At 36.7% G+C, this 24714-nt stretch overlaps 1 protein-coding gene and 1 pseudogene across 7 annotated transcripts in view; one reads left to right on the top strand and one right to left on the bottom strand.

The window, feature by feature from the left end:
* Positions 1-24714, bottom strand: part of FNDC3A (fibronectin type III domain containing 3A) — a 234489-nt gene that overhangs the window by 7981 nt on the left and 201794 nt on the right. For 5 of the 7 annotated variants that reach the window (XM_017020440.3, NM_001079673.2, NM_001278438.2 and 2 more), the window contains 10 exons: positions 23145-23231; positions 15697-15835; positions 14609-14677; positions 13166-13284; positions 10679-10784; positions 10415-10590; positions 4809-4922; positions 3925-4074; positions 3534-3817; positions 3225-3437 (listed from right to left, as the gene is read on the bottom strand). In XM_017020440.3, the coding sequence (XP_016875929.1) occupies positions 3225-3437; positions 3534-3817; positions 3925-4074; positions 4809-4922; positions 10415-10590; positions 10679-10784; positions 13166-13284; positions 14609-14677; positions 15697-15835; positions 23145-23231 (1457 nt within the window). Of the gene's footprint in view, positions 1-5; positions 667-3224; positions 3438-3533; positions 3818-3924; positions 4075-4808; positions 4923-10414; positions 10591-10678; positions 10785-13165; positions 13285-14608; positions 14678-15696; positions 15836-23144; positions 23232-24714 lie in introns of those variants that run through there. The other 2 variants (XM_017020443.2, NR_103528.2) reach the window with 2 other exon arrangements.
* Positions 14050-14445, top strand: COX7CP1 (COX7C pseudogene 1; annotated as a pseudogene).

Genomic DNA, 24714 nt, shown 5'->3' with positions numbered 1-24714 from the left:
TAAAATGGAAATAACTATTAGATAAACCTTATACTACCTTATGATACCTTATTAAAGTGTTTTACAAACTAGTATAAAAACACAGTTATGAACATTATTTAGGAGTGATAAGTTACCCCAAAAGTTTGATGCCAGGAACTCTATGTCACTTAAAATAAATCTGTTTTTCATCAGATTAAGAAAAATAGGATATTTGGTAAATTTCCCAATTTGACATGATTTACCAAAAGTCTGTTACTAAATTTCATGTCCGACCATAACTGTTTCTTCTCAGGCTTCCGGTTTAGCTTTGTTTCTGAATACTGTTTTGTTAATGTACATTTTAAAAGATGCTCAGAACATCACAATTTTCATTACAAATTATTTCTAACTAAAGTCATATTGATAAAATTTGCCAAGTATGGCATAGAGACCTGAGCTATGAGATTAAGTTTCTATTTTAATCTTCCTTGTCTTTATCTGGAAAAAAGAGAATTCTCAATTCCCAGGCAGATTTTTAGTTGACTTGGTGACGTTTTTTTAGAGATTTACAAAAGCAGTATGATAATATAAAATTTCCAATACATTACCCACTTGAACTGTTCAATGAAGTTGAATATCATACATATTTCTCCTAATATGTTATCTATAAGTTGAATGCATCCCATTATTTTTGATTGGATGTTTCTAAAATTTTTGGAAATTAGAGAATGAATAATGAATGCTTATTCAATGCTAACAGTCTGAAAATTGTAGCCAAGTTAAAAATAAAGAAATATTTAATGACAGGAAGAAACAGTACTTCCAATAAGCAGTAATTGGATAAGCCTTGCCTTTTCAACCTCTAAATTTTTTTTTAATGACAGGAAAAAAAAATAGTGGTAATACCACTGTTTAAAAAAGCTGAACAATGACAAAATCTGGATCAGGGAACAACTAAAGTATCATTATGATACCATCCCACAGCAAGTGTATATAGTTGTGAAAATCAAAGGGAATGAAAGTAATCAAAGATATTAAATTGATTTAATTTATTAAATGTGTGCATTAAACTTAACAGTATCATAAAAGGTTTTAATTTCTTTATTTTCCACAACCAAAGGCCATGAGCCATATTCATACCCCATAACAATTCTCTAGATGCTAGCTGAATATTAAGTTGGAAGTTCTATAATAGAATTTATATCTAATAGAATCTTTATTCTATTATCTTTCAACCAAACACTAATTAGACCTGTTTCCAGTAAGCCTTCTTGCACTACCCCAAATGTATGCTAGAAAGGGGAGGAAAAAAATTTAAACAATTAATTTGTCCAGTAATAATAACATATATTAAAGATAAATGGCTATACCAAAAACCTGTACAAGGCAAATAATCTCTTTGTAGAGATAAGGCTACAAAGATTACATAAAATTCTGCCAAGAACAAAGGCTAACATTCATCGATACAGATTTTAGGAAATGATCACGTTTGTTCTGTGTAATGTTCTTACTGGTGATATACTAGTATACAAAATTATTCCATATGTTATTTTAAATGTATAAGTATTTCTGATAGAGAGTGGTTATGTACAAGCACCATGAATATTTCATTGTTGAATACCTGGCTAAGATACAAACAACACAGAAAAGTAAATCTTGGGAAAAACTGTTACTAGTATTCTGAGTCCATCAGATTTGGAAATTGTTTCTAATATATTCAGTGAAAAGTAGAAAAGCAAAATTCAAAATTCTTAAAATATTAAAGGATTAACAGCTGTGGGAGGTATGTGGCATTGCTTATATGGAATATAATGTGAATAAATAGCCCTAGTTGGCATTAGAATGACTGTTACAAATATTCAGAGTTAACACTGTAATTAAAATACATGATTTAGTGTGGCAGTATATGGCACATTATATAGGAATAGTACAACATGTACATGAAGATGTGAAAGAGGCACAGAAAGAACCTGAATGAAATTAGGTTCTTTCTAATTCAAAGATTAGCAAAGATTAGCAACAGTGATTAGCAAAGGGACTAGATAATTAATCACAGAATCTAACTGAGATCACACAGTGAAAAACTGAACTGTATTCATTTAGCGTGCAGGCCCTGTGTCAGGAATCTGGAAAAGACTGAAACATAATCTCTGCCCTCAAGGATCTCAGAGGCCAGGAACGATCATAATCATTTACTATAAAATTGTTTCAGGGCCGGGTGCAGTGGCTCACGCCTGTAATCCCAGCACTTTGGGAGGTCGAGGCAGGTGGATCGGGAGGTCAGGAGATGGAGACCATCCTGGCCAACATGGTGAAACTCCGCCTCTACTAAAATACAAAAAATTAGCCGGGCGTGGTGGTGCGCACCTGTAGTCCCAGCTACTTGGGAGGCTGAGGCAGGGGAATTGTTTGAACCTGAGAGGCGGAGATTGCAGTGAGCCGAGATCGCGTCACTGCACTCCAGCCTGGTGAGAGTGAGACTCCGTCTCAAAAAAAAAAAAAAAAAAAATTGTTTCGGTCAGGCACAGTGGCTCATGAGTTGTAATCTCAGCACTCAGTGAGGCTGAGCGGGGAGGACCACTTGAGCCCAGGAGTTCGAGACCAGTGTGAGCGACATGGTGAAACCCCATCTCTACTAAAAATACAAAAATTAGCCAGGTGTAGTGGCCCACGCCTGTGGTCACAGATACTTGGGGAGCTGAGGTGGGAGGATGGCTCCAGCCCTGGAGGCAGAGGTTGCAATGAGCCAAGATAGTGCCACTGGAGGCCAGCCTGGGTGACAGAGCAAGACCTTGTCTTAAAAAAAAAAAATTGTGTCCTGCTAGAAATAAACACTGAAGAGTTTATTTTGTATCTAAGATTAGGTGTCTTTTACTATCATGAAAACAGTAAATGGATTACAGAAAACAACCAAACAGTAGCCCACTTATTTTTTTCTCTTGGTATTCCACTCACAAATTATAAACAGGAAATGTACATTGTGTTTTCTAACGTTTTAAAAACAGCACACTTTTGTATGACAATCTTGACTTCGTTTTTGAAAACTTACTTCATTAAAATAAATTTTTTTTAGAGACAAGGTCTCACTGTCTTGCCCAGGCTGGTCTTGCACTCCTGGGCTCAAGCAATTCGCCTGCCTCAGCCTCCCAAAGTGCTGAGATTACAGGTGTCAGCCACCACACCTGGCCTACTTCTAATAGTTACAGAAATGTATATACTTAAGACCTAAGAAACTATATAAAGAAGCAATTAAAAAAACCTACCGTCCATTCTTATCCTCCATCTGAAGGTGGTACTGAATAGAATCGGTTGACAATGTCTTTGGAGTTCCTTCTCCCCATTTCAGCTTAAGGTTCTGGTGGCTAAAGGCAACACATTCCAGACGAGGTGGATCAGGAGGGAGAGGCTTAGTTTTTAATTTTATCATATGGCTGAAAGGACCAGCTCCAAGGCTATTCAAGGCTTGAATTCGTATTCTAAGTGCCACATAAGAAAAAAAGTTTGGTTATGATTGTTTTATTTAAAGCGTCTCTCTGGTCTAGGCAAAAATCAACATAATTTTTAGAGTATACCTGTATGTTGTATCTGGTTGCAAATTGTTGATAATATAGCTTGTAACCTTTCCCACTGTTAGGGATTGTTTATCTCCAAAGTCTATGCTGTAGGCAAGGATTTCCGAACCATGATCACAAGGCTTTTCCCAGCTTATTGCAAGGCATGTAGAAGGTGAATAATGGGGATTTTCTATCTCATCATCGCTTATTTCTTGAAGACAGGTCACAATGCCAGGAACTGATGGTGGAGTCACACAGGCTACTACTTCACTGAAAGGGCCTGCACCCACAACACTCAGAGCCTACAAATTAACAGAGCCTCCGAGTTAACAAAGTCATGACCATGAAAATGCCAATGAAATATAAAACTCTGGATAGAGTTAAGTGACAAGGTACTGATCATCTTTACCTGGACCCTGCAATAATAGGTAGTTGCTGGTGAAAGTCCTTTTATTTCATAACTGAGACCAGGCCCACAGTAACATATCTGCATACTTCCTTCAACTCCTCCCCACTCCAGTCGATATTCAGTGACATCTGTTCCATTACTCAAAGGAACCTTTAAATTAAGAAAAGGATAAAGGTCTTAGTCTTGATGTTGATTAAATAGCTTTTGGCCAAAAATGCTCTTTACCTGAGCACATGTAAAACTAGATTGCTTTTGAGTTTCTTTAAAACTTTTAAGCACAATCAAAACTGTTCAATTTTACATTTTTTATTCATTAAGATTATCTGAATTTAAGATTGGTCAAATATATAACTGTTTTGAATTAGAAGTAGAAATATGACTAAGTCACTTTAGAAAGAGTGTTTTAAGGTAAATATGTTTCAAGATAATTCTATTAATATGAAATGTTAAAAGCATACACACATTTTGTTAAATTTCAAAGGGAACTGAAAATATAATAATTATCATCACTGATTATTACTATCCACAATAAGTACACTGGAGATGTGTACTGGATAAATATAAGAGAAATAGAATTTACTAATTCCTGTGTATGTCTATTCTGAACATTAAACTTACAGTGGCTGAAATATCTCAGTACTGAGACAAAGCCATTCATAAAAATACAAAGCACATAATGAACAGGAATCTAAATATTTGTAATGCAAATATACCTTACTCAAATTCTTCAAAGAGGAAAAAGAAGTCACTGTTTTTCATGTGAATTAAACTAGGGCTTACTCTGTATAATATAGGCGGTAAAAATGAACAGTATCTTTATTCTTTTATATAAACTATTCTATTCACTTAAGAAAGTAGATACAAGTCAATGGAAATTACAATACCTCCCAATTCACTTGTGCACAAGTTGCAGATCTACATGTCACTTGAGGGGGCTTGCACTGATCTGGTGGCCCAGGGGCTGTAGTAATATCACATTTTTCTGAAAATGGTCCAAACTAGAAAAACAAATGTAACTAGTGTTTTTATTTTTCACCCTTAAATGTCCACTGATTGCACAGAACTGCATATTTAAAGATTCATTAATAAAGTCTTTTCCCTGTGTTTCAAGATTAATTTGGTCATAATTCTATAAGTATTCACATTAACTAAAAAGACTTAAAAATCATGAAAGTAAAGGTGTGAGAAATTTTAAAGTTTCATTTACCTATACTTTCTTCTGCCCCTTATTTCTTCAGGAAATGGTTTTTGTAAGAAGGGCAGGACATTAGGGAATGAGGTCGGTGGAATAATTCAGGAGAAATATAAGGAGTGAAGAAATTGATACTAATTAAAGGTACGGGAGATGGTAGGTGTAAATTATTATTTTTAATTTTTTAATACTTCACGAATCTTTCTTAGGCATATTCCATATCAAATTTTACCAACATTCTGTTCTATAAATTTGTTTATTTTGTAACAGAATTTGATTTTTCTGTTCCATGCTAAAAAGCTCACTTTCTCATAATTACTTTTAACATACATTACCCGGAATATAAAAAATTTTATTCAGTATTGGCAAATTCCTTCCCCGACACATAGGAGAACAATTACAGAAATTTCTTGTCATCAATTTTTCAAAGCTCATTAGCAAAAGAAAAGCCCCAATACACTGGTATTTTCACTTAACAGTGGCGCATCATTATAATGGTCAGAAGTAAACCTACTTGTTACTGCACTGTATCAGGCAGTTTTGCCAAATGCCCATCTTTAAGAGCTAGCTCAACTTCTTTTTTTTTTTTTTTTTTTTTTTTTGAGACAAGGTCTGGCTGGCTCCATCACCTAGACTGCAGGAGTGCAGTGGTGCAAACATGGCTCACTGCACCCTCGACTTCCTGGGCTCAAGCCATCCTCCCACCTCAGCCTCCTGAGTAGCTGGGACTACGGGTGTGCACTACCATGCTGGGCTAATTTTTCTACTTTTTACAGAGACAGGGTTTCACCATGTTGCCCAGGCTGGTCTCAGACTCCTGGGCACAAGTGGTCCTCCTGTCTCAGAGGGAGGACTGCTTGAGCCAAAGTGCTGGGATTACAGGCATGAGCCACTGGGCCCAGCCAGCTACGAAAACTCTAAGAAACTCAACTTCTCAGAAAATTCTATGGAAACATTCAGTTGTTAACAAATATTTAATATTAAAATTATTCCAAGTTATTTATTTTTAATTTAGGAAAAAACATGTATTAATCACCAATAAAAATGTTAATAAATAACGACTTACCAAAGGGTAGGGATTTTAAAAATATCAAGTTTCATGAATATTGGTAAAAAACCTTAAGAAGGTGAAACCAACTATTCAATGTAACCATTAGGCCCTAAAAATAACAGTATAATACTTTAAAAATAAAATTTTAAAAAGTTTTTCCAAAAGAAAATAGTTCACTCCTTGACCATACTTATTCAGAGTATCAGTGACTTCAGATAATGTTAAGTCCTTCATTTTTCCTCCAAATCCGATTGCACAGGGAATATACACCATTTTGTATCATCACAATGTCATTAATACCTCAGGCTAATATTGTGAACGTAACTGTTTTATAAAAAAGTAAAAAATCAAGGCTACTATATATGGCAAACAGAAACAAACGTAAATGTTTCCTTTTGTTTACAGCACTGATTTTAGCTAGACTTTAAATGAAGGTCATCAACTCTCCTGAAATAACCTCAACCTCTGGCCATAAATCTACAGTATAAATATGATGAATAAAGTTAAACTATATACTAATCAATTATAACAACTAATACGGCTCTTGAAAACCAATCTTATAATAAAAGTATTATTTGATATGGTGAGAAAATACAGACAAATCTGCACAATCTAACATCTATAAAGGGCAAAATCAAAACTCCAACTTCCTTATAGAAACTATTTCATCTGTATAATTATAAATGTTAAGGAATCTTGCATTTTATAAACAGAAGATAGGCTCACTTTAATTATATCAACTTTAAAATTTATATTAATAAGTTTAAAAAATCTTTCCATAAAACTTTATATAGTTTAAAGCTATATACCAATCTATAAATCTCAGAAAATGGGAAAAAAAAGAAACCTTTTATACTATCATATGTATAAAACAAGAAGTAGACTGTGATTTTGTTTAAGGCAATGCTGGGCTATTTCACAAATCACCACTTCAAATATTTGCACTGCTCAACACTACCAGTTTCTATCATATTCACGATTAAAAAAAAATCAAATGTTTAAAGTCTTCAGTAAACTCCTTATTCACATTTCCATTATATTTCATGGACTCATAGTAACTATATCCTGTTAGAAGCAATGAAAAAAAACAAACAAACCTGTAGCTATAGGAAACTGCTAGAGAATATGCTTTACTCTCACATGAATACCACCCAAAAATCCCAGATGGCAAGTTTACAAGGCAGAGCAAAATGGTGATATAATGCGCCTGCTTTGTGAAAAGTAATCTTGAAACCATCTTGAAAATAAATATTTCATGTAAAAATCAATGAACTATGGCAGATAGTTTTATTAGTAGTTCAAAAGTTCCTAATTTAAAACAATAAATTTGAAAACCCAATCAATTTTAAAATTCCAAATATGTTATTATTTTTTTGAGAAAAAGCCTGTTGCCCAGGCTGGAGTTCAGTGGCACAATCTCAGCTCACTGCAACCTCCACCTCCTGGGTTCAAGCGATTCTTGTGCCTCAGCCTCCTGAGTAGCTGGGACTACAGGTGTGGGTACCACCAAGCCCAGCTAATTTTTGTATTTTTAGTAGATATGGGGTTTCCCGATGTTGGCCAGGCTGGTCCCGAACTCCTGGCCTGAAGTGATCTGCCAGCCTCGGCCTCCCCAAGTATTGGGATTACAGGTGTGAGCTACTGTGCCTAGCCAAAATTCCAAATATAAATCTGTCATTTAATAGTTTTTTGTTTTTAATTGCTTTTTTTTTTGAGACAGAGTCTCACTCTGTCGCCCAGGCTGGATGTAGTGGCATGATTTCAGCTCACTGTAACCTCCGCCTCCCAGGTTCAAGTGATTTTCCTGCCTCAGCCTCCAGAGCAGCTGGGATTACAGGCACACGCCACTATGCCCAGCTAAGTTTTGCATTTTTAGCAGAGAAGGGGTTTCACCATGTCGGTCAGGCTGGTCTCGAACTCCTGACCTCAAGTGACCCACCCACCTTGGCCTCCCAAAGTGCTGGGATTACATGCATTTACCACCATGCCTGGCCAATATGTCATTTAATAGTATAGACTTACAGACTGCTAGTGGCAGCAAATGATTTACAATAATAAGTATATATAAAAGGTCAGGTGCAGAGGCTCATGCCTGTAATCCCACCTCTTTGGGAGGCTAAGGTGGGGGAATCACTTGAGCCCGAGAGTTTGAGACCAACCTGGGAAACATAAGGGGACCCCCATCTCTATAAAAAAGTAAAAAATCAGCCTGGTATGGTGGTGTGCACCTATAGTCCCTGCTACTCAGGAGGCTGAGGCAGGAGGATCGCTTAAGCCTGGGAGGTTGAGGTTGCAGTGAGCCATGATCATACCCCTGCTCTCCAGCCTGGGTGACAGATACCCTGTCTCAAAAAAAAAGTCTGTCTATCTGTCTATACACACACATACATACAAAGGTATCTACAAATAAAGAGTACTGTTATACATGTTATAAGGCAACCTAAGAAAACATATCAGTCACACAGATAATTCAGTTTAGTTCATGGAGAGCATGGAAAGGGCCACTAAATGATAGAAACTTGAGGTTTAGCACAACTATTTATAAGAACTGAAGTAAGGATTCTGTTCCTCAAGTCCTATAGGGATTAAAAAAAGTTTTCCATGACAAATGTCATTTTTTTGCCCCCCTTTTTTGAACAAGGTTAATTCATGTCGACAACAACAAAATAATGACAAAGCTTCACCATTCTAGCATGCTGAATGGATTTTATTTAAAATAAAACTGTAAATAGTGTACTTATAGTACATTATTTATCAGTACTGCTCTCTGGTAGGCATAAATTTTATCTTAAAATCTGGAATAGCTTTAGAAAGGTCTAAAATGTATGTTCTCTGGAAATACGGAAAGTAAATATTTACTTAAGGTGATTTTGACAAATTATCACAAACCTGAAAATATAAATTAAGACGTAAGTATTAAAGATGCGATCCTAGTGTACTGCAGCCTTGTGAGGCTGACAAGATGGCTTCTTACAGAAAGGAATGACTTGTGTAAGAGCAGCCTAAGTATATAAATTTGACATATAAGAAATTTAGGCCGGGCATAGTGGCTCTTGCCTGTAATCCCACTACTTTGGGAGGCCGAGGTGGGTAGATCTCTTGAGCCCAGGAGTTTGAGACTAACCTGGGCAACATGACAAAACCCTCTCTCTACTAAAAATATGAAAAAATTATCCAGGTGTGGTGATGTACACCTGTGGTCCCAGCTACTTGGGAGGCTGAGGTAGAAGGGTCACCTGAGCCCAGGAGGCGGAGGTTGCAGAGAGCCAAGATCACACCACTGCATTCCACCCTGGGTGACAGGGTGAGACCCTGTTTCAAAAAATCAAACAGAAATAAATTGAAAAATAAGTTTACAGATGTAAATACAGAACCCTGTTGGAAAACAGGATTTGAAATATAGTATAGTTCACCAAAATAATGGGTAGGAGAGAACTGTCAGTTTAATTCTATAAAAATTTTAATTATACAATAGTTGAAAGAAATTGTTATTTAGCTGAGATAGGAAATTACTGCTTTGTCCTTAGGGAACCTGCTTTATTGCAGAGAGATGAGAGGTGTCATAGCTGAGTGGAAAGAGCTTTGGCTCTGGAGTCTGACAAACTAAGGTTTGTAGCTTACCTCTATCACTTATTAGTTTGTATGACTGTGGGCAAAATATTTAGCTTTCCTGAACCCGTTTCCTTAGTTGTGAAATGGAGATATCACCTACTTTGTCCACTTTTTGGAGTTATATATTAAATACATAGATAATATTTCAAAAAATACATACAAAACCAGAATAGTTTCAAGCATAAGTTTTTTTTCATTTGGGCAAAAAAAATGAATCATAATTAGTTGCCAACTGAAAGTAAATGCTACTTTAGCCTCAAAAAACTTCAATCAGCCTCAAAAACCTCAAAAACTTCAATCAGCCTCAAAAAACTTCAGTACTTATGATTTTATTTCTACTCTTAAATTGATTAAGTAAACTCTATTAACACTGCCTAAAAGGTAAACTCTAGCCCAGCTGAAGTCCAAAGTGTCACAAACTGTAAGTGGGATCTAAAAATACTGAGATTTCATAAAAATTAAGTTATGGAATATACCGACTTCTCTTGTATTTATCAATGTAGGCTTGTTAAAAATTGTAAAATTTGGAGTCATATGTTAAAGCCAAATGGCCAAATAATGGATATGATGATATATGTTAAAATGAAACATATATCACCATTGTGATTATAATTCTACCAGCACAGTCTTCTTACCCCCATTTTGTTAGCTGCACGTAGTCTGAAGCTGTATGTCTTTCCAGGAAGAAGGCTGCTCACTGTACATTCTACTTCAGAACCTTGGTAAACTTCTCTAGGTTCATCTTTTTCTATAGGAGACATTTCCACACTGTAACAGGAAATGGGTGATCCACCATCAACCAGAGGGGGTCCTAAAAGATGGAAAGATTAATGCAATTTAACAAGACGAATACTTCCTGTTCTAGCTTAATTATAATTTATTACCAAAATGGAAATTACCCCATCGTAACTGTATTTCTTTTGCTTTGGGTCTACCCTGTAATCTGGGAGGGAGGCATGGGCCAGGAGGCACAGCTGGAGTCTGCACAAGTAAAGATTCAGAGACCTGCCAAAACAAAAGCAAAAAGAAAACAAAAATGCCCCAAAACCAAATAATCAGATTGCTTTTGGTAAGGAAAAATAATATAAACACAAATATTGCACTGATAATTTGAAATTGTACTTGATTGTCAACAAAAAAGGAATAAAGTTCTGAAAAAAAATGAAAACCCAATTAAATAAAAACTCAAAATTTTCATAGACAAAGAAAGACATGTACTGTGCAACTACTATATACAAAGCAAGTTACTGAAAAAGAACTTCAATGAACCCTTCCTTTCCTTTTCTTTCCATAACTAAAGAAAAAAACAACTTCCAACACAATTTAATGGGCAATATTTTTGATCTTCTCCAAAAGGATCCATAAATCTCTTCTAAGGAGGGATGTTTTAAAATACTGTATATGCTGTTTGTATTGTTGTAAGGAGGTTTAGAATATTTTGGCTACTTTACTACTGTAGACTGTATTTTTAACCTAAACACTGATTTATTTATTTATTTTTAGAGATGGGGTCTTGGTATGTTGCCCAGGATGGAATGCAGTTGCTATTCACAGGTATGATTACAGCCTCAAATTCTTAGGCTCAAGCAATCCTCCCACGTCCAGAGTAGCTGAGACTATACACATTTGTCACTGCACCAAGCTTAACTTATACATTAAAAGATTATCTTTCCTTCATCCTTTCCACCTAAAAATAATTCTAAAATCAGGTAAGCTTTTCCAGTTACTTGGCATCTTTCTAGGTATTTGATACTGCTTTTAGTTTCTATGCTATATTTATATTTTAAAAAGCCTTTATTTTTAAAGACACTCTGTTAAAAACAATGCCACACTGGGCCGGGCGCGGTGGCTCACACCTGTAATCCCAGCGCTTTGGGAGGCTGAGGCGGGTGGATCACAGGGTCAGAAGATCGAGACCATCCTGGTTAACATGGTGAAACCCAGTCTCTACTAAAAATACAAAAAAGTAGCCGGGCATGGTGGCAGGCACCTGTAGTCCCAGCTACTTGGAAGGCTGAGGCAGGAGAATGGTGTGAACCCAAGAGGCAGAGCTGGCAGTGAGCCGAGATCGTGCCACTGCACTCCAGCCTGGGCAACAGAGTGAGACTCTGTCTCAAAAAAAACAATGCCACAAACTCAGTGGCATATTACTTACTTGCAACATATTAAGGTTCATACTTAACATTCTTTTTAAACACAAAATATTTGGTCATCTTTTTATCAGAAAGCTATCTATGTAAAAATGCTGTAAAATGCTATAGTAGAACAGGATTTTGTGCATGTCTATGTGTTGTTGCTTTTCTGAAATCCAGGGAGATTTTCTTACTGGATAAAATGAAGCAACTGGAGCACAAGCCAGTTGGGCAGGACTCACACTCAGTTGCACATTAGTTTCATTTTCAACAAAATGCCTATATTTCATTTTTAAAAAAGAATACTTTCATTGCATTAAATTTCATTTCAAAAAAAAAACCCAGCAATTATGAATGATCCAAGAAACCATTCTTGGTTTAATTCATTTAAAAAAAAAAAATCACTTGGCCGGGTGCGGTGGCTCATGCCTGTAATCCCAGCACTGTGGGAGGCTGAGGCCGGTGGATCACGAAGTCAGGAGTTCGAGGCCAGCCTGGCCAACATGGTAAAACCCCGTCTCTACTAAAAATACAAAAATTAGCCAGTTGTGGTGGGGGGCGCCTGTAGTCCCAGCTACTAGGGAGGCTGAAGCAGGAGAATTCTTGAACCCAGGAGGCAGAGGTTGCAGAACCCAGGAGGCAGAGGTTGCAGTGAGCCCCAATCGTGCCACTGCACTCCAGCCTGGGCGACAGAGTGAGACTGTTTCCCAAAAAAAAAAAAAATCACTCATTAATAAACATACATCCCTAGAACATTATGTCTTTATATCAATGGTACATTTTAAGTTCATTTTGGTTATTGAGTCTCTAATAATAAAATAATGGCCAACTTTTTTGAAGTAAGTAAATATTAGAAAGTAGATTAAACAGCAGATACTATTTTATGATGTGTCCTCACACACATAATTTATGGAGCAGTAAATCGGTCTATAATTATTTTATTTCTATCTCTGCTTAGTATGGTTATTGAGCATCATTCTCAAATTTATCTTTATAAAATTTTCTCCAATGTTTTCATGTATTTGTTTTTCCAAAGCTGAATACCAACCAGACAACAGACACACACTGAATACTTACTGTGAGCTAAGTACCACATTAGAATATTTTGGTCACTATCAAATTAACCCAACAGGTTACAGAAGTTACTTTTCTCCATTTGTGGATATGTTTCAATATTTGAAGTGGCACCTGGTGATCCTACCCCATTTGGCCAAACTTAATAACAACACAAAAGAATCTACATATAAGTATTACCGCACTCTGTCCTCCATCACTGATGCAGTAAACTCGTAAACGATAGAAACAGCCTGGATTCAGTCGATCACAAAGATGTTCCCTGGTAGCACCACTGTATATCATTTCCCATTTGTTTCCTGTAAGGTGAGGAATTGTGTTCAATCAGATACTAGGTAATGTTTAACGTTCTGGTATCATGGACACATCAGGTATCCTAGCTTCACAAAGTAAGTATTTGTGTAATTTGTCAGAAACAATTTAGGTTTGTTTCGGTTTCCTGGAAATGATCTAATTTTCTTTATGTGTGCAGCTTCCTAGACAAGTCTGCATGGCTTTGTGGAAGTGAAATATCTCTGTAACTCTGTACAGACTTTGGCCTAGATTGATAATTTACTTTTAATTAAGCATTTTAAATGTGTTTACTGGTCCAGTAATAACGTTATAGCATACAAAGAGTACAAAAAACCAGTATCAGAGGAAGTCTAGTCCTAATTAAAAGACATCTTTTTTTTCTTTTTGGCAGGAAATAGGTCATTTCATAGAAATAAACACTGCTAAATGTGTGATTCAAGAATAAAGTTCACTAGTCATAAAACTTACTACTAAAACTAGTATGATGTGAGTTAAATTTTAGAAGTTAATCCTTCTCTGATATATCTGTATATAAATCTAACTGAATAAACTAACCTTCAGAAGATTCATAGTATCTAATGACTTGGTCTAGGTGTATAGAGGCTGAGCAATGTAAATAAATGAGAACAAAAAGAACATGTAAATGCAACGATACAGTTGTTCAGCACTCTTACATTTGATTCACTGTATTTCTGGAAATCACAATTTAAAGTGGATCATAACAGGCAAAATCCTAACTGCTACAAACAAAGAAAAAAAAAATCCAGGAAAAAAAAAAGGTCTTGGTGAGGTGCCGCCATTTCATCCGTCCTCGGTTTCTGTGCCTTTCGCAGAGCTTCCAGCAGCGCTACGTTGGGCCAGAGCATCCGGAGGTTCACAACCTCTGTGGTCCGTAGGAGCCACTGTGAGGAGGGCCCTGGGAAGAATTTGCCATTTTCAGTGGAAAACAAGTGGTCGTTACTAGCTAAGATGTGTTTGTACTTTGGATCTGCATTTGCTACACCCTTTCTTGTAGTAAGACAACAACTACTTAAAACATAAGGATGTTTCAGTTCATCCATTAACAGATATGAAGAGCATTTTAAGAGGTACAGCCTCTGGAAGTGGATCAAACTTGAACTCATATGGCATACTAGATATGTTTGTCAATAAACTTATGACATTAAAAAAAAAAAATCCAGGACAACCCAAAGTGAAGTGAACATCTTTTTATGGTGTACCTTATGAAAAGCAAGAAGAAAGAAAAGATATGACATAAAATGTAAAGCCATAAAGAATAGAAAGAGACTGGCTGGAATAAATCTATCAGTGTTTAATATCCATTCATACCGTTAGAACCTTCTGCCATCTCCACTACATATTTATTGATGGTTGCTCCGCCATTGTCTTTTGGTGGATCTATCCAAAGAAGCAAAGTAGTATTAGGCAAGGTACAAAACAACATAAAAATGATAAAAAAAACCTAATAAACAGAATACCAAACTAGGTTTAAAAAAAAAAAATCACCTGCAATGACTTAATACCAGTACCCAATTACTCCATGCTGTTGTCATCTGCTTTTCACTTAATTTACCATATTTAAAATATGGCTCTCTATAACAATTTTTAATGGCTGCATGATATTCCATTTACTTATTTTTATTTATTTTTTTTAGATGGAGTCTCACTCTGTTGCCCAGGCTGGAATGCAATGGTACAATCTCGACTCACTGCAACCTCTGCCTCCTGGGTTCAAGCGATTCTCCTGCTTCAGCCTCCTGAGTAGCTGGGACTACAGGCATGTGCCACCATGCCCAGCTAATTTTTGTAGTTTTAGTAGAGACGGGGTTTCACCATGTTGGCCAGGCTGGTCTCGAACTCCTGACCTCATGTGATCTGCCCGCCTGGGCCTCCCAAAGTGTTGGGATTACAGGCGTAAGCCACCATGCCCAGCCTCCATTTACTTTAGATGTTAAGGTTGTTTGAAATTTTTGAATATTATAAATATCACTGAAGCATTTTTATTGGTCTGAATTTTTCAGGCAAGGGTCAAGTTTATGGGATCTTTGTTTTTCCATTAGGTATGTAGGTAGGTGCTCGATAAATGTTTGTTTTAAATGAATGGTTTTCATTTCTTACGAGAGCCAGATGACCCAGGTGACTTTAGCTGCAAGTTCAGTAATCCTTCATTTCACAGTGCTACCCCTGCTCATTATCTTACAGTGGATCGCAAGTTCCTTTTTATCATATCTTAACCTAGCATGTATGAGAGTATAAGGTTTTCCACAAAAAACATACCCAATGAATGACTCTCACATTTCTTTTTGGACTGGCTTGAGATAACAAATTTACTCAAATATCTTAAAAATTATCTTCATATTCAAATTATTTTAATCAAACGCAAAAGTAATAATGTATAAACATGCATAATATCTTACCCCAGGTTATTTTAAAACTGTGTGAATGTATCTTTCCTTTCACTGAAGGCTTTACAGGTATGCCTGGTTTATCAGGGCAAGTAGTAAATTCTACTACTTCACTTGGATTACTTTTACCTTCTGAGTTGTAAGCAATAACCTGTGATGAGAACAGAAAGACATTAAATAATACACTTGATACCTAATGATACTGGCTTAATAAACAAAGTGATAGGAGACAAACAGCTTCAACCAAATGATAAAATACATTTTTTTTAGCTTGGAATGGCTTGTTCTTTGAGAATTGCTTGTCTCCAATAGATACTTGGCATATATGAAGAGTATGCAACTGTACTTCCCCTTTTAGAGTCCGTCCTGGGAATACAAGTGTAAAACCTAATATTTTGATACTAAATAAGAATCAGAGGAACAAGCTATAATCTGGTGATTCTTCATGGGCTTTAGGCTTGCTTTGTTTCTTCTTTTAACATTCTTTGTGAGTTTAGAAAGAGGTCCACACATTCTCTGAATCTCCTTTCTTCAAAAGGTGAAGTCTAATCCCCCTTCCCTTGTGTGTGTGTTATACTTAATGACTCACTCTAACAAACAGAATACAGCAGAAATGACGGTGTGTGTAACTTCCCTATGGAAAAACTCATGTGGTGAGGAACTGAGGGTTCCTGGAGACAACCATGTGAGTGAACCTGAAAGTGAGTGAAGTCCCAGGAGAGCCTTGAGATGACTGCAACCCCAGTTGACATCTTGATTACAACCTCATAGAGACCCTGCATCAGAATTACCCAGTTAAGCTGGTTCTCAATTCCTGACCCACAGAAACTATAAGTTTGTTTTTTCAAGCTGCTAAATTTTGGGATAATTTGTTATAAAGCAATAGAGAAATATAATTCCAATCTAGGTATTTTTCTATTATAGAAATTTAACTATACCTGTATTGTTACATTTTCTCCTCTACTGAACTTAAAGATCCTCAAGTCCAATATCAAACCATGATTTTTTCTTCTCTAAACCTGCCCCTCTTTTTCTCTCCCCACAGTAAAAAGCTCTACCATCTACCTAGTTGCTCAAGTCAAAAGTGTTAGAGACAAACTGCCCCAAAAAATCTTGGTACTGCTGACGCTCCCCTCAAACCTCTCCATGCTGCCCACCCCCCTCCCCCTTATGCTCTGCAACTCTTCTCTGTGCTGCCCACCTTTCCCTCTGAGCCCCTTTACATTTCTAAGCCCTTATCTAGGTGCCACAATGAAGCCAGCAGACTTCACCTATCAGGCCTTGCTGTGATAAGCAAATCCCAATTACAGGCCATTGGGACCGCACAGGGGGAGGTCGTGGGAAGCACAAACAAGCTTTACCTACACCTACCTGTAAGTTCCTTCATTTAGCTGCTACCACAAATGTCACAAGGTGATATATGATAAAGTTAACCAACAAACGACCCCAGGGTCTCTCTCCCCAATATAAACCCCTCATTTTATAAGCTCAGGGCTTCCTCCTCTGTCTGTAGTGGAGCAGCCGGCAGGTTCAATAAACTTACTCGGCTGACTTTGGGTCTATTCTTCCTCTCGGTTGACCTTACAAAAAGGAGACATCCTTGATTCTTCTCTAAACCGCATCCAATCTCTTACTATATCTGGTTAACTTTACCTCCACTTCACTGTTCTACAACTACGACCACTTTAATGAAAGCCTCCTTTCTCCTATCTTTCCTGAGTGACTGTAATTATACCACTAGCTAGTTTCCCAGTGTACATTCTTGCCCTTGACCCCCAACTACTTTCTACACCGAAGCCAGAGGGACTTTTTATCACTGCTTAGCTCAGAACCCTCTAATGGCTTCCCATCTTACTCAAAATAAAATCTAAATTCCACACCATGCCTACAAGGCCCTATGTGATTTCATCCTTAACTACCTCTTGAAACTCCACTGTAGGGTCTTTGTGCTAGCAGTTATTTCCTCACTTGGAATGTTTTTCTGATTTTGACATGTTACTTCCTTGTTACTCAGATCTGTTTAAATGTCATTTCCAAGAAGACTTCCTTAACTACCCAGTCATTCTCTCTTACCCCATTCTATTTTAATTAACCTGCATTGCACTTACCACAATCTATTTGTTTGCTTATTTATTGTCCACTCCCCTCATCAGAATATCTGTTGTAGTCTTAGTGTTTAGAACAATGCTTAGCAGAGAGTAGATGCTCAACAGATATTGGTTGAATGAATGACTCATAGATGGGGACTATGATGCTATATAACACCATACACAAGGATATGAGTAAATCTACCACCCCAAATAAATCACAGAGCCCATCAGAACTCAGTAAAGTTTAGTCCAATTGTTCAATTTTGCTCAGGCTTCCTCAGTCCTCTCACAGTCACATGGATTTTCAGGATGTTTTCTTACTCTACTCCTTTATAAATGAGACTACAAATGGGTTTAAAACACTTCTCAATGTTGTGCACAGAATCTACTTAAACCTTTTAACCAGAAGAGTCCTCCTAAAAACTATATTCATTTAATTATGTTTTTAAGGCTCTATAGTTCAACATTGTCTCCTTTTACTGTAAAGCACCTTCTAGTCATAAAGGTAATTAAAGGTATAAAGTCAAAAAGATAATCTCCCCCCACCCAAATTTTACAAATAATCAAAATGTTCATTTAGTGCCTATCACATAAGGAGCACTGTGCTAGGAACCCTGTGTGAGCAGATTGTACCTTGAAGGAATTTAGAATCTTCATGCAGAAGATAAGCAATATGCATATCAAAAGAATGGGGCAGGAGGACAAAGATTACTAAGGCCTAAAATGGTTTAGGAAGGCTTTGAAAAGGGAAATGGAAGTGTTATGGAGTCTTCCTGGGCAACAGCAATCAAAGGGGAAGCTTGGGTAAGAGAAAAAACAGAAAGCCCTGTACATAAGAGCACAAGTGAATAGTGAACAGTGAGCTCTGCTCAGGGAGAGATGAGTAGTTAATCTGGTGAGGTAGCTGGTTCAAGTATGGACTGGAAGGTAGTAAATTTTAAAAACTGAACAGAAATATAAAGAATCTTATATCAAACTAAGGAAATTGTTTCTTAGAGGGAAAGGTGTTTTTCAGAAAGATTAATCTAGGTATAGAAAAGAACCTGGATTGGAAGGTGAAAAAAGAGCCTGAAGGCAGTTATATACATAATATGTTTGAAGATTTAGTATTCTTCAAGACAGAAATGGAAGGCAAAAAGATGGTATATCCAAGCAAGAGAGGGATACACCAAGAAGACCTAAGGACTTAGCTAGGGCACACTTAGGGCAGAAGTGACACCAGATAAGATGAGAGGAAGAAAACATGACTACATACTATGTACTGTAACAGATGCTGACATAAATGAATTTCAAGGATGGAACATAAAAGTAGTTAACGGAGCCAGATAGAAGCTGTTTTGATTTCTCTTTACCTATAAAAAGACCTCAAAAAACAAGGAATAAGCTGAAAGTGAAAGTATCTAAAGGTTCTTAGCTCAAGATAACTTGACCTTTAGAAGCCTTACTACATCCAAAGTGGGGACTGGAAAAAAAAAAAGAAAAAAAAATCCCAGAAGGCTTTCTACTTGAAAAACTTTTTCAGAAAATTCAGGAAATTCAGTTTTCTAGTGGCCTAGGATTATAGGACTGGCCACTCGGCTCTGAAGGCTTTGATCGTTTAAAAAAAAATTTAGACACCAGGTCCTAGCCCAGCCTTCAGTGAACCATTAGATGAAATTAGAATTGCTTATAACTCTTAATTTTAAATAATTTTAAAGAATTCTGACTGCTTTGCTGTGCTTTAAAATTTTATTTTTGGCCGGGTGTCGTGGCTCATGCCTGTAATCCTAGTACTTTGGGAGGCTGAGGTGGGAGGATTGATTGAGTACAGGAATTCAAGACCATCCTGGGCAACATACAAAACTATCTCCACAAAAAAATATAAAAAAATAAAAAATAGCCAGGTGTGGTGGCTCATGCCTGTAGTCCCAGCTTACTCAGGAGGCTGAGGTGGAAGGAACCCTTGAGCTCAGGAGTTTGAGGCTGCAGTGAACTATGATTGTGCCAATGCACTCCAGCCTGGGTGATGGTGTGAGCCCCTGTCTCAAAATAAACAAATAAATAAATAAAATTTTATTTTCATTCTTCTTTATCATTTAAATTTTTTCACTGTTCTTATCTTGTTTTAGTATTTTGGTTATCCCAGAATTGTCCTCAGTGTAGAACCTAGAGCTCTAGTATTTGGTAAACTTGGTCATATTAGTAGTTCACTTTACATTAATCATATTCTTATTGTTTCTTCAGAATAATAATATGCTACTTAGTCATTACTTCCTGGATTATTTTTTTTTTGTAGCTTTTCTCAAAGTGTTCTAAGATCTCTCTAAAATATTAAGATTTTATTTTGATACGACTGTTTGAAAGAATCTGCAATATCTAGCTAGAAAAGGAAGACCAAGACACAACAATAGGATTTAATGATTCAAAATGCCCTCAAGCTGGGTTCCCTGCACATGGCAGATTTAAAATAAGTGTCTGAGCTCCTAGAACTTCATACAAGCATCATTTTCTACTTCCTGTTTTTTTTTCCTCCTCTAGATCAGTTGTTTCCAAATTTTGGCAAGGATCAGAATTACTTAGAAGTATACCACAACAGACTGCTAGGCCTCTGCCCCCCAAATTTCTAATTTAGTAGATGGGGGTGGGGAGGGGCAGGGCCAGAGAATTTACATTTCTAACAAGTTCTCAGGCGATACTGACAAAATGGCCTGCTGACTACTTTGAGAACTATTGCTCCACATCTTAATAAGCCAGAATATAGCCCCCTTCCTTTTATCCAGTGATGAGTAAAGAGGTGGCTTTCAGACATATTGTTTTCCCATCTCCAACCTCATTATCTGGGAGAATTTTGTGCAACAGCCTACTGTCTCCTTGGAGATTCTGACTGTATACTTCTCCCTCCCCTGAAATTTGACAGTGACCACCATAGTGAAACACACTTTAATTAATTAGTTAATATTATTAAGAGATGGGGTCTTGCTCTGCTGCCTAGGCTGGAGTGCAGTGACACGATCATAGCTCACTACAGCCTTGAAATCCTGGGCTCATATGATCCTCCTGTCTCAGCCTCCGAAAGTGTTGGGATTATTACAAGCGTGAGCTACCATGCCTGGTGGCTTTTAAATAGAAAAAACAAATTTTTTTTTTTTTTGAGACAGAATCTCGCTGTATTGCCCAGTCGGGAGTGCAGTGGCATAATCTTGGCTGACTGCAACATTTGCCTCCCAGGTTCAAGCAGTTCTTGTGCCTCAGACTCCCGAGTAGTTGGGATTACAGGTGTGAGCCACCATGCCTGGCCTAAATAGAAATTTGATTAGCTTATAGTAGAATGCTAAGGAATTTAACACATATGTATATTTGTATCCATTTCAGTCCCTATAATACCATGGTGTTACATGGTAGTAGAATTTTAGGATTTTCATAAACTTAACAAATTACAAAGACATTAACAACTTCCTCTTTAGGAGACCTGTTGGAATGCTTCATTAATGAAGCAAAAATACAATCCAATATCATCACAAAACTGGAATGGATGTGCCTATTTCTCAGGTATTTTATAAATCTTGTAAATATGAAAATCATATTTAGAAATTAAATTGACATAGCATTATTATAAGTTTTTAAAATGAAGCTAATAGCATAAAATAAAGCATAACAATTATTATGTGCTAAATAATCAAATTTCCCATTGCTAAAGACTTAAGATTCTCAAGAAGTAATAAAATTTCTTTGCTTTTTAATAGTGAAAACAATTTACAGTGGCTTTTATCATTTATTTGAAATGGTTTGATTAAATAAGCACTGGCAGGAAAATTTAAATGTTGAATTTATCAACTAATGAGCAAAGTTTCTCACTGATGATGAAGGAAGTTAGAAATAAGGACAGGGGAAAACTAAAATTAACCTGTGGCACTGGATTAGAATTGAAGGTATCTGGTGTGAACTCATGATTTTTAAAAATACAGAGATACAGAGACACAGATATGTATCTGTGTTGTAATTGTCTATTTATGTATATACACATGTATAAATATCTGTATATAAACTAAACATATACACACATATAGTTCCTAGCTGTGTCCATTGGGAGGGTGCTCAGGAGCAGTAAAACCTCTATGGCAATTAAGTATACTTAGTATCTAGATCTTGATTCCTAAATATCACTGTCCACTAAAAGGATCCTGGTGCTTTGAGAAATGGCCAATTCCAGAGTTGAAGAAGGTAAAGTTTAAGATGAGACTAGAAATCTTGTGCCAGAAAGGAAGGGCTCAAAGAATGAGAGACATGTCAAAAGGATTCTGAAGCCAGCTTGTAGGGGATCCCAAATCTGGGACAATTTGAGCCTCACAATAATCAAAGTAACAAAATATAAGCCATTTAACAGACTTCCATGAGTACATACTGATATAAATGGGGAGAAGAGAAAGTCTTTCTTTCCTTACAGTATAATACCAACTAATGAATGTAGAAAAAATGATAAAATTTTAAAAATCACCACTTGGCACCATCAATCATGGTAATAATTGATTTAGGCAAGTATCACCAATGGGTGTTAAAACTATGGATGAAAGTTTGATGAGGAACAAGATGCTCACAGGGTACACAGTATTTACAAAATACTTATTAATTACAAACAAAAAAGAATAACTTTACAGTTATTATAAATATGAGAAGAATATGGTAGATACAGGCTTTATCAAGTGACTACCAGTAATAAGACAAATTGAAATTATACACCACTTGATATGCTACATTGAGAAAAATGTAGCATTATTTTCTGTGATATCCCTGCCAACAAAGCATATACTTAGTATGTTCTAACATTCATATTTTAAAAGATGTTTGGTCACATTACACAAATAAGAGCCATATAAATTGGTTGTTAAATATATAAAGTTTGAGAAGCACCGCTATATAACAAAGTAAAACAAAAAAGCTCACTAGAAAAGGTCAACATTATTTAAGATCTAAAACCAAAGGAGTGAAGTATATACTTGTCTTTAAAACAGTAAGAATAGAGGTTGGGTGCAGTGGCTTGTGTCTGTAATCCCAGAACTCTGGGAGGCCGAGGCAGGAAGATCACTTGAACCGAGGAGTGTGAGATCAGCCTGGGCAAGATGGTGAAACCTCGTCTCTACAAAATAAGTTAGCCAGGTGTGGTGGCATGCACCTGTGGTCTCAGCTGCTTGGGAAGCTGAGGTGGGAGGATGACTTGAGCCCAGGAGGTTGTGGCTGCAGTGAGCCATGATTGTGCCACTGCAGCAGCTTGGGTGACAGAGTAAGAGCCCGTCTCAAAAAACAAACAAACAAACAAACAGAAAACAAAGAACCCCACCACACCAGTAAGAATAGGAACAAGGAACAAATCGTTTAAGGGTTTTCAAAGCTTACCTTAAATTTATACTTAGTACTACGTCTGAGATTTTTCACTGTGTAAGCAAGATCTTCTCCATCATATTTAGGCTTAAAACCATATCCCTGGAAAAGGAAAAAACAAAGTCTTCATTCGATGTCTAACAATAGAAATATGGGCAATAATGAATATGTGAAAAGACCCGGGTTTCTCTTCATCTTCTACTATGTGCAATATGACTAATGCTCTGTTGAGTGGAATCCTCACCTCGATGCTTCTGTCTTCAGTGGGTAGACCCGGAAATGCTTATTGAACATTTGGTAGAAGATGAAGCAGGCCACTTAGTCTCAGTAAATATAGTAGCCAAGAGAAGACGATCTTTGTGTTGAGGGAAGAGTTTATAGAGTTGGAGCCAATGGTAACTTCACCATCAGTAAGCTATCCCAAGAACAGAGATTTCCCAGAGACATCGTGCAAGAGCTGAATAGAACTGTAAGTAGTTAACATATTTAACTTGCCTTTAACACATGGTTGTCTAAGTAAATAATTGAAGGGTTAATTGTGCTGGCAGGTGAGGATGTCACTTAGGTTTGGGATGGCTATTTCCAGCACTAGTGACAATGCTTTACAAATTTTCCGAACGTTATCATTTTTTGAATTAAAAAAATTGAGATATAATTCATATACTGTAAAATTCACCATTTCAAAGTATAAAATCTAATGGCTTATAGTGTATTCACAAAGTTGTGCAACTTTCCCCTAATTCCTAATTTCAGAAAAAGCCTGTCCTTTTTTGGGTAGCAGTCACTTCCCTCCACCTATCTACTAACATACTTCCTGTCTCTATGGATTTGTCTATATCCATATAAATGGAATCATATAATATGGAGTCTTTTGTAACTGGGTTCTTTAGCATAATGTTTTCAAGGTTGGTTCATATAGGTCATCAAGGTTGGTTTCAAGGTTGTGGCATATACTGGTACTCTTTTTATGGCTGAAAAATATTCCATTGTATGGATACACCACATTTTGTTTATCCATCTATCTGTTGATGGACATTTGGGTTGCTTCCACTTTTTGACTATTATGAATAATGCTGCTATGAACATTTGTGTACAATTTTTTTGTATGAACATGTGTTTTCAATTCTTTTGGGTATATACTTAGGGGTGGACCAATGCCATTTTTGACCCATATTCCTTCAAAGTAGCTCTGAAAATCTATGAACTATATATAGATTTAATAATAGAATACACCCTAACTCCTGGTCAGCTAGCCTCTAGGTAATAGGATGTCAGTGATGTGTAACTAGATTCAGGCTGTACTACAGTTTCACAGGAAACTTTTAAAATCTTCTGTGACACCTTGGGAAGCAGTGTATAAATACAGTTAGAGAAAGGCAGACCCAATATTTCCTCATCTTTTAGAGCTGCTTAGTCAAGAAGGCTGTGGTGATCTTCCCCTCCTCATAGTTTCCCTAAAACAGATATAGTTAAAGTGCAGCCTATGTGGTTCCAAAGCACAGACAGACATATATACACACACACAAATAAAACAAAACCCCCTTCACATCAAAAGAAAAGACAGAGTTTTCAGGCTGGGCACAGT

This window comes from Homo sapiens, chromosome 13, assembly GCF_000001405.40.
Source record: "Homo sapiens chromosome 13, GRCh38.p14 Primary Assembly".
Classification (NCBI taxonomy): Eukaryota; Metazoa; Chordata; class Mammalia; order Primates; family Hominidae; genus Homo; species Homo sapiens.
The sequence above is the reverse complement of the archived record's forward strand: the minus strand, read 5'-3'. Positions and strand labels throughout refer to the sequence as shown.